This window comes from Homo sapiens, chromosome 8, assembly GCF_000001405.40.
Source record: "Homo sapiens chromosome 8, GRCh38.p14 Primary Assembly".
NCBI lineage: Eukaryota > Metazoa > Chordata > Mammalia > Primates > Hominidae > Homo > Homo sapiens.
Genome location: NC_000008.11, coordinates 63,506,103 through 63,517,923, shown reverse-complemented (window position 1 = coordinate 63,517,923; position 11,821 = coordinate 63,506,103).

Here is an 11,821-nt window from a genome sequence, read left to right as displayed (position 1 = left end):
AGGAGAATTTAATGAAGAGATTATATGTAGCATTAGGGGCAAAATTGAAGAAAATAAGAGGAGATACTTAGATACCCAGAAATAAGCAACAGCAGGAAGTCATTACTTAGGCCTGAAACAACAAACAGAAGAAATATTTTTACCAAAGCTGGATGAGAGCTGAAGCTGTGGGAAAGGTCACCCTTAGCAAGAGATACAGTTGTGGAGGTAGCCACTGCCAGAAGAGCAATTCCAAAACACAGAAGTGGCAGGGCAACACAACTGTCTCTCTCCCCCTGCCCTCTCACCTCCTACCTGCCTTTCATTGGTCAAACCTAACTAGAAGCCACGGGTGCACTGCACCCAATGTATCATGGGTTGGCTATGTTACTATTAAACAAAATATAAAGCACTATATATGGAAAAAGTTGAAATTTGAGAGTTAAGGAAAACAATGGAAACACTAGTGAATTTGTGAGCTTGATATGCCTGCAGTTTGTCTGATTATGGATCTCCTATACAGTTGAAAATATGAATCAAGTTCATGGAGGAAAAAATGCAGCTGAAGATAAAGATGTAGAAATCATCAGCTTAAAAGAGTGAAGAGAGAAAAGAAATGGGAGGAAAATAGGAAACGTCACATAAATGTGAGACATGTCAGATGGAGCCCCTTGCCCCTTGGAGACCAGTGCTTACTTGGCATGAGCCCCAGCCCACTCCTCAGCCGCTGGATGTCTGATAATTGCCTCAAGATTCCTTGCAAAACTCTGGGGGTTGATGGAAATTTCACTTGTATCATTCTTATAGTCTGTCTTGTTTTCTTCCATGCATCTCTCTGGGCATGCAGCTCAACCCTTCTCTCAGTTTCCACAAAAACCTACTCATTTCAAATACTTCACCAGTTTTAAAAGAATTTACTCAAGATATATATGCTTGCTGGATGAGAAACATCAGTCTCCTGCCATAATTTTTTTCCTTCCATTCCTGTTTCTTGTCTCCTCTCTCCAGAGCATATACTCCAACCCGACTCTCATCCTCCAAGTTCCTCCAGGCAGACTAGCTTCTCCTTTCTTCTGAAATATTAACACTAACTAAGGGATGGTACTCATCTTCTACCAAACTCACCAAGGCCCTTAGCAGAACCAAAGCCTGAGCACTAACATGACCATTCTCTCCAGAAAGGAGACAAGGAGGTATCACATGCTGCCTTCACTATTATAATCCATCAGAGTTCTGTGGCTACACAGCTCACTCTGGTCAAATTGTGTCCTCTAAGATGTAACAAACCCCCAAAGTGAAAATCTAGCAAACCAGTAGTCTTGAGAAAAAGCATTAGGCATATTCTCCAAGCGTATCTTATATAAATAGTCTACTGCAGTTTCTTTAAAAAAGTGTACCTAAGCTACCAGAAAATGTTGGAAATTTGGAAAGGGAAATTAAAAGGCCATGTGCTTCTTAAATTTATTTCCTGAACCTTCAAGTATGTAAATGAGGAAAGAAGTGAAAAACAGCAGGTCAGGTTCCCACTTCTTCTATTGAAATGTTATCACAATTTAACATACTAGAAAAGGGGCATGCCTGTGATATGCTAATGACTTCAAACCGGAAAATGTGTGAGTTTTGGGAAAAGCTTGGGAAAAGCTCATTAAAGACTTTAACCTAAGAAAAAAATTCACTTGGTCTGTCCTGTAAACTAGAGCTTTCCTTATCCTTGCCCATTTCCTGTTTTTATATGCTCCAGGAATTTTCCCTGTAGTTTGGTCTTATTTTCTCCTTTAAGCCAAGATTTATAATAGTTTTCCTCCTACATATTTTGTTTGTTTGTTTCCTTGCTAGTTTCTTTGATTTTTGCTTTTGTCCTTTGAAAGAGAGAGAGGTGATCTCTATAGTCACTGTTTGTTCATTCCCTACACTTTTAACACACTGCCAATTCAGATTTTAATGGTTTGGAGAACTATGATGTAAGATATGATTTCAAAAAGGCTTCCATCAGGGTAGGAAGGCTGCCTCAGCCACAGAATTTTTTAAAATATCTTATTATTATGGGAAAGAGTGATATTTTAACCACTTAATACATATCTATTGGGGCAAAGGGCTGTGCTCTTTTCTGAAGCTCTCATCTCTTAGCTTTTTTGGAAGTGACAAGTGCTTTCTCCCAACTGATGTTTAATTTTCTCCTTATAAAACCACTTTTGCAAAAATTATGACAGTGAATGAAATCTAGCATAGCTGACTCCATCTTGCTTCTAACCTCACAAGCTAACCGTCCTTGCTCATTCCTGGGTGAGGCCAAGCTAACCATGGAAGGGATTTAGTTAATAATTTAACTTTGAACCAAGCATGATAAGAATCCCTCCCCAAACTGACTACGCTCCAAGGACTGAATTTGCCTTTGGAAGACTAATGAAAGACCACAGTTTAGGATGATGGGCAGGGCCTGAATTCTGCTAAGATGTAGGTATCATTCAACAATAACCAGACATTGTTCTGGAAGTCACAAGATTTTTAACCTCTCCAGTGGCTCCCATAAATAACATCACTATTGTCACAACCTAAGATTGGTTTTTGAGGCATTTTCCAGACATTTGCATTTGGGCAGACCACCTGATGCCGCTCAGACTTGTGACACATAGCAGGAAACTGGCTCAACCAGTCCCATAACTCCCACCCAGAAATGGACTCAGCACATGCTCAAAGACCATTTTGGACACTCCTATGATTTTATCCCCAATCAGTCATCAGCACCCATTCCCTTGCCCCCTGCTCATCAAATTATCCTTAAAAACACTAGTCTACAAGGTTCTGGGGAGGTGGATTTTAGAATTGACTCCCATCCTTCTGCTTGGCTGGCCTTGCAATAGTTAAACCCTTTTTTGCTGCAAAACCTGCTGGTCTCAGTGCACTGACTTTTCTGGGCAGTGAGCAAGAAGAACCCATCAGGCTGTTACAGTTAGTTGTGTCCTCTTTCTCCTCATAAACATTAATGTTCCTAAGATTGCAATGATGGATAAGTAGGCCTCTCTATGATTTATCTCTCTATAATACTATCTAAAAGAGTGTATGTGTGTGTTAATGTCTGAAACTAAGTGAAAATGGAGAGTTTGAGAAATAAATTTAAGACGCATCAATGTAAAGAACTGAAGTTAAATAGTGTATGTTCTCTAATAACAGAAGAATTAAGCTAAAAACCAATAATAATATATAACTTTAAAATTTGAAAAAATTAAAACACTTTTAAATAGCCATGAGTCAAAAAAAATAGAGACAAATTCCTTGAAAACACAATTTACTAAAATTGTCAACTAAAACAGGGGTTTGCAAATCTGAATAGTACTGTCCTTACTTTAAAAAAAAAAAAAAATATATATATATATATATATAAACACACATATATATATATAGAATTTGAAAACTTTTTACCAAAAAAAATCAGGCTTCAATGGCTTAATTGGTACATTTTCCAAAATCTAAGAAAGGAAAAAAAATACCAATTTTCCAATAATTCAGAAAATTAAAAATGAGGAAACACTATTGAAAGGAATCAAACAATTTCACCCCAAAATATGGTTGTCTTGTATAATAAGTATTCTGAATTAAAACCTTAGAGATCCACAAGCCCTAGAAGAAATTTTTATTCTATCTACATAAAGATAGTACTGACCCACCAAGGAGAACAATTGTTCCTGTTCCCCTCCTTGTTATCTCATTATCCATTACAGAAAAGAAGACCAAAAATGTAATCAGAGCTGAACAGACCCTTTTTTAAGATAAAGACTTTCTCCAAGGGCCATTTAAATTCCAAAGAGAACTATTTATAAGTTAATTTCTGTTCCCCTTCCAATTTTTCTCTCTAGTAATCATTTATTGCCCCTCAACAGAATTCCCTTTCTGCCCCCTCTCATAACCTACTTTACCAAGTTCCAAGCCCCCACTTTTTCTGTAGTCTTAAAATGATATATAAGGTTTTATACTTGATTGGAGGCTTGGATTTTCATTCTGAAAGCTCCCATGTATATATATTAACTAAATTTGTATGCCTTTTCTCCTATTAATCAATCTTCTGCATGCCACTGATTTTTCTGTGAACAATTACAGGGGTCAAGAGCCTTGTTCCCCATACTATTTACTATGTTTTATGAGGACAGCATAACTTTGATACCATAATCTGTCAAAAACATGAAAAAACAGGAATAGCATAAGCCAAACTTCCTTATAAAGACATGTATACAAAACATTTATGTTACCAAATAAATTAGACCAATATAAGAGAAACATAATGTATCATGAAAAAATGAGGTTTATACCAAAAATGCAAGGTTGGTTAACATCATAAAATAAGTCAGTAAAAAACACCATTTCAATAGAATAAACAAAAATCTATATGGTAACCTCAAAGTATACATTAAAAACATTTGACAAAATTAAATGCAAAATAATTACATCGAATTTTAAACTTAAATTAAAAAAAAAAGTTTTAGAAACTGAAAATATAATGTGAAAAATGCATTTGCAAAAACCCAAAGATCATAACAATGACAAAATTTGAAAACTTTCTCTATGCAATCAAAAATGAGACAATAAAATCTTCTATCACTGCAGTTTAATAATTGTCTGGAGGAATTAATTCATAAAATATAGCAAGCAAAAGAAACAAAAACATAACAAGTAAAAAGAGAATAATAAAACTCTATTCAATGACAAATTACTGTATATGTAGAAAACCCAAAATAATATACAGATAAACTATAAGAATAAGTAAATTTAATTTAAAAAGTCACTGTATAATAGTTCAATAAATAAAAATCAACTGTATTTCTGAATATTAGTAATAAAAATGAAATTTTAAAAGTGATCATTACTTACATCAGCATCAAAATGATCAAACATCTAACAATAAATTTTTTTTTTTTTTTTTTTTTTTTTTTTGAGACGGAGTCTCGCTCTGTCGCCCAGGCCGGACTGCGGACTGCAGTGGCGCAATCTCGGCTCACTGCAAGCTCCGCTTCCCGGGTTCACGCCATTCTCCTGCCTCAGCCTCCCGAGTAGCTGGGACTACAGGCGCCCGCCACCGCGCCCGGCTAATTTTTTGTATTTTTAGTAGAGACGGGGTTTCACCTTGTTAGCCAGGATGGTCTCGATCTCGACCTCATGATCCACCCGCCTCGGCCTCCCAAAGTGCTGGGATTACAGGCGTGAGCCACCATGCCCGGCCTAACAATAAATTTAATGAAATGTAAGTAAAACATCTACATAGAAAACTATAAAACTTCACTGAGATAAATTAAATAAGACCTCATTAGTCATGGGATAGACACAGATTGGAAGACTGCTATAACAGAAATGTCAATTTCCTCAAATTAATTCATAGATCTCATGAAACCCCAGTGAAAAACCCAGAGGAATCTTTATTTGGAAATTGACAAGCTGCTTCAAAATCTTCATGGAAATGCAAAAGCCTAACTATAGCAAAAATATTCTTGAATCAGAAAAAAGTTGGAAGACTTTTATATTACCATAAAGCTAGACTCATTATAAAGCTACAGTAACTAAACCATTTGTGGTAATGGCACAAAGATAGACAAATAGAACAACAGAAAAAAATAGAGAATATATAATTACATCTACCAATATACTACATACAAAAATAACTAAATAAACAGAGATGTTCTATGTTCATAAATAGGAAGACAATTTATGATAAAATATCTCAACAATGCAATGAGGAAAGAATAGTCTTTTCAATAAATGATGCTGTGTCAATTTTATATCTATATGGGAAGAAATTAAGATTGGCCCTATCTCATATTTTACCAAATAAAAAAATCAATTCCAGATTAGTAATTCTAAATGAGAAAGGTAATAAGAAAAATATTCTAGATAAAAACACAAGATATTATCTTGATAACATTAAGGTAAGCAAAGATTTCTGAAAGAGGATCCAAAAAAATACTAAGACCCATATTTATAAATTTCTTTTTTATTTAAAATCTTTATGCATCAAAGATACCACAAAGAGTGTAAAAAGATGAAGTACATTGTGAGAGAACATATTTGCAATACAAATACCAAACAAGGGACTCATAACCAGAATATATTAAGTACTCCTACAAATCAATAACTAAGAAAAAAAAAGAGGTAATGCAATTTCTTTAATGCAAAAAACTACAACAGCCATTTTATTTAAAAAGGAGATACAAATGGTTCATAATGTCATGCACGTCCATGTGAAGAGACCACCAACAGGCTTTGTGTGAGCAGCAAGGCTATTTCACCTGGGTGTAGGTGGGCTGAGTCCAAAAAAGGAGTCAGCAAAGGATGGTGGAATTATCATTAGTTCCTATAGGTTTGGGATAGGTGGTGGAGTTAGGAGCAATTTTTTGTGGGCAGGGGTAGATCTTCTTACAAAGTACATTCTCAAGGGTGGGGAGAATATTACAAAGTATCTTCTTAAGGGTGGGGGAGAATATTACAAAGTACCTTTTAAGGGTGGGGAGGGTGTATTGTCAGAAAGTCAATTGATCAATTAGGGTGGGGCAGGAACAAATCAAAATGGTGGAATGTCATCAGTTAAGGCAGGACCTGGCTATTTTCACTTCTTTTGTGGATCTTCAGTTGCTTCAGGCCATCTGGGTGTATACAAGCAGGTCACGGGGATACGATAGCTTAGCTTGGGCTCAGAGGCCTGACACATTATTAGCAATAAGAAAAATATTAATTTTTTTTTTGAGACAGAGTTTCACTCTGTTGCTCAGGCTAGAGTGTAGCAGTGCAATCTTGGCTCACTGCAAACTCTGCCTCCTAGGTTCAAGCAATTCTCATGTTTCAGCTTCTCAAGTAGCTGGGATTACCATGGTGTGCTCCACGATGCCTGGCTAGTTTTTATATTTTTAGTAGAGATGGGGTTTTGTCATGTTGGCCAGGCTGGTCTCAAACACCTGGCCTCAAGTGATCCACTCACCTCAGCTTCTCAATTGCTGGGATTACAGGCATGAGCCACCACATGCGGCCCTGCCATAGGAAAAATGTTAATTAAAACCACATGATGGGAGTGCTTCCAAGATGGCTGAATAGGAACAGCTCCAGTCTGCAGCTCCCAGCGAGATCAATGAAGAAGACGGGTGACGTCTGCATTTCCAACTGAGGTATCTGCTTCATCTCAATGGGACTGGTTGGACAGTGGGTGCAGCCCACAGAGGGCGAGCTGAAGCATGGTGAGGTGTTGCCTCACTCGGGAAGAGCAAGGGGTCAGGGGATTTCCCTTTCCTAGCCAAGGGAAGACCTGACAGACTGTACCTGGAGAAACAGTACAATCCTGACCAAATGCTGCACTTTTCCCATGGTCTTAGCATCCGGCAGACCAGGAGTTACTCTCCTGTGCCTGGCTCGGTGGATCCCACGCCTACAGAGCCTTGCTCACTGCTAGTACAGCAGTCTGAGATCAACCTGCAAAGCTGCAGCTTGACGGGGGAGGGGCATCCGCCATTGCTGAGGCTTGAGTAGCTCACAGTGTAAACAAAGTGGCCAGGAAGCATGAACTATGGGGAGCCCACTGCCACTCAGCAAGGCCTACTGCCTCTGTAGATTCCACTTCTGGGGACAGGGAATATCTGAACAAAAGGCAGCAGACAGCTTCTGCAGACTTAAACGTCCCTGTCTGACAGCTCTGAAGAAAGTGGTTCTCTCAGCACAGTATTGGAGCTCCAAGAATGGACAAACTGCCTCCTCAAGCGGGTCCCTGATCCCTGTGTAGCCTGACTAGGAAACATCTCCCAGTAGGGGCCGGCAGATATCTCAAACAGGTGGGTGCCCCTCTGGGACAAAGCTTCCAGAGGAAGAATCAGGCAGCAATATTTGCTGTTCTGCAGCCTCCACTGGTGATACCCAGGTAAACAGGGTCTAGAGTGGACTTCCAGCAAACTCCAACAGACCTGCAGCTGAGGGGTCTGACTGTTAGAAGGAAAACTAACAAACAGAAAGGAATAGCATCAACATCAACAAAAGGAACATCCACACCAAAACCCCACCTGTAGGTCACCAACATCAAAGACCAAAGGTAGATAAAACCACAAAGATGGGGAGAAGCCAGAACAGAAAAACTGAAAATTCCAAAAAACAGAGTGCCTCTTCTCCTCCAAAGGATAGCAGCTCCTTGCCAGCAAGGGAACAAAACTGGTTGGAGAACAAGTTTGATAGGTTGACAGAAGTAGGCTTCAGAAGGTCGGTAATAACAAACTTTTCCGAGCTAAAGGAGCAGGTTCCAACCCATCGCAAGGAAGCTAAAAACCTTGAAAAAAGATTAGATGAATGGCTAACTAGAATAAGCAGTGTAGAGAAGACTTTAAATGACCTGACGGAGCTGAAAAACATGGCAGGAGAACTTCGTGACGCATGCACAAGCTTCAATAGCCAATTCGATCAAGTGGAAGAAAGGATATCAGTGATTGAAGATCAAATTAATGAAATAAAGCGAGAAGACAAGATTAGAGAAAAAAGAGTGAAAAGAAATGAACAAAGCCTCCAAGAAATATGGGACTATGTGAGAAAAACAAATCTATGTTTGATTGGTGTACCAGAAAGTGATGGGGAGAATAGAACCAAATTAGAAAACACTCTTCAGGATATTATCCAGGGGAACTTCCCTAACCTAGCAAGTCAGGCCAACATTCAAATTCAAGAAATACAGAGAACACCACAAAGATACTCCTTGAGAAGAGCAACCCCAAGATACATAATTATCAGATTCACCAAAGTTGAAATGAAGGAAAAAATATTAAGGGCAGCCAGAGAGAAAGGTTGGGTTACCCACAAAGGGAAGCCCATCAGACTAACAGTGGATCTCTTTGCAGAAACCTACAAGCCAGAAGAGAGTGGAGGCCATTATTTAACAGTCTTAAAGACAAGAATTTTCAACTCAGAATTTCATATCCAGCCAAATTAAGCTTCATAAATGAAGGAGAAATAAAATCCTTTATAGACAAGCAAATGCTGAGAGATTTTGTCACCACCAGGAATGCCTTACAAGAGCTCCTGAAAAAAGCACTAAACATGGAAAGGAACAACCGGTACCAGCCACTGCAAAAACATGCCAAATTGTAAAGACCATTGATGCTATGAGGAAACTGCATCAATTAACAGGCAAAATAACCAGCTAACGTCATAATGACAGGGTCAAATTCAAACATAACCATATTAACCTTAAAAGTAAATGGGCTAAATGTCCCAATTAAAAGACTGGCAAATTGGATAAAGAGTCAAGACCCAGTGTGCTGTATTCAGGAGACCCATCTCACGTTCAAAGATGCACACAGGCTCAAAATAAAGGGATGGAGGAAGATCTACCAAGCATATGGAAAGCAAAAAAAAAAGCAGGGGTTGCAATCCTAGTCTCTGATAAAACAGATTTTAAACCAACAAAGATCAAAAGAGACAAAGAAGGCCACTACATAATGGTAAATGGACCGATTCAACAAGAAAGGCTAACTATCCTAAACATATGTGCACCCAATACGGGAGCACCCAGATTCATAACGCAAGTCCTTAGAGACCTACAAAGAGACTTAGACTCCCACACAATAATAATGGGAGACTTTCACACATCAGTATCAGTATGGACAGATCAATGAGACAGAAGGTTAACAAGGATATTGAGGACTCAAACTCAGCTCTGTGCCAAGCAGACCTAATAGACATCTGCAGAACTCTCCACTCCAAATCAAAAGAATATACATTCTTCTCAGCACCACATTGCACTTATTCTAAAATTGATCACATAATTGAAAGTAAAACACTCCTCAGCAAATGTAAAAGAACAGAAATCAAAACAAACTGTCTCTCAGACCACAGTGCAATCAAATTAGAACTCAGGATTAAGAAACTCACTCAAAACCACACAACTCCATGAAAACTGAACAACCTGGTTCTGAATGACTACTGGGTAAGTAACAAAATGAAAGCAGAAATATAGATGTTCTTTGAAACCAATGAGAACAAAGACACAAGGTACCAGAATTTCTGGGACACATTTATAGCAGTGTATAGAGGGAAATTTATAGCACTAAAAAATGTCTGCAAGAGAAAGCAGGAAAGATCTCAAATCGACACTTTAACATCACAATTAAAAGAAATAGAGAAGCAAGAGCAAACACATTCAAAAGCTAGCAGAAGACAAGAAATAACGAAGATCAGAGCAGAACTGAAGGAGATAGAGACATAAAAAAACGCTTCAAAAAATCAATGAATCCAAGAGCTAGTTTTTTGAAAAGATCAACAAAATTGATAGACTGCTAGCAAGACTAATAAAGAAGAAAAGAGAGAAGAATCAAATAGATGCAATAAAAAATGATAAAGGGGATATCACCACCGATCCCACAGAAATACAAACTACCATGAGAGAATACTATAAACACTTCTACACAAATAAATTAGAAAATCTAGAAGAAATGGACAAATTCCTGGACACATACACCCTCCAAGACTAAACCAGGAAAAAGTTGAATCTCTGAATAGACCAATAACAGGTTCTGAAATTCAGGCAATAATTAATAGCCTACCAACCAAAAAAAGCCCAGGACCAGAAGGATTCACAGCCGAATTCTACCAGAGGTACAAAGAGGAGCTGGTACCATTCCTTCTGAAACTATTTCAATCAATCAAAAAAGAGGGAATCCTCCCTAACTCATTTTATGAGGCCAGCATCATCCTGATACCAAAGCCTGGTAGAGACACAACAAAAAAAGAATTTTAGGCCAATATCCCTGATGAACATAGATGTGAAAATCCTCAATAAAATACTGGCAAACCGAATTCAGCAGCATATCAAAAAGCTTATCCATCACAATCAAGTCAGCTTCATCCCTGGGATGCAAGGCTGGTTCAACATATGCAAATCAATAAATATAATCCATGACATAAACAAAACCAATGACAAAAACCAGATGATGTCAATAGATGCAGAAAAGGCCTTTGACAAAATTCAACAGCACTTCATGCTAAAAAATCTCAATAAACTAGGTATTGATGGAATGTATCTCAAAATAATAAGAGCTATTTATGACAAACCCACAGCCAGTATCATACTGAATGGGCAAAAACTGGAAGCATCCCTTTGAAAACTGACACAAGACAAGGATGCCTTCTCTCGCCACTCCTATTCAACATAGTGTTGGAAGTTCTGGCTAGGGCAATCAGGCAAGAAAAAGAAATACAGGATATTCAATTAGGAAAAGAGGAAGTCAAATTGTCTCTGTTTTCAGATGACATGATTGTATATTTGGAAAACCCCATCACCTCAGTCCAAAATCTCCTTACGCTGATAAGCAAATTCAGCAAAGTCTCAGGATACAAAGTCAATGTGCAAAAATCACAAGCATTCCTATACACCAATAATAGACAAATAAAGAGCCAAATCATGAGTGAACTCCCATTCGCAGTTACTACAAAGAGAATAAAATACTTAGGAATCCAACTTACGAACGATGTGAAGGACTCTTTAAGGAGAACTACAAACCACTGCTCAACGAAATAAAAGATGACACAAACAAATGGAAGAACATTCCATGCTCATGGATAGGGAGAATCAATATTGTGAAAATGGCCATACTGCCCAAGGTAACTTATAGATTAAATGCGATCCCCATCAAGCTACCAATAACTTTCTTCACAGAATTGGAAAAAACTACTTTAAAGTTCATATGGAACCAAAAAAGAGCCCACATTGCCACGACAATCCTAAGCCAAAAGAACAAAGCTGGAGGCATCACGCTACCTGACTTCAAACTATACTACGAGGCTACAGTAATGAAAAAAGCATGGTACTGGTACCAAAACAGATATATAGACCAAC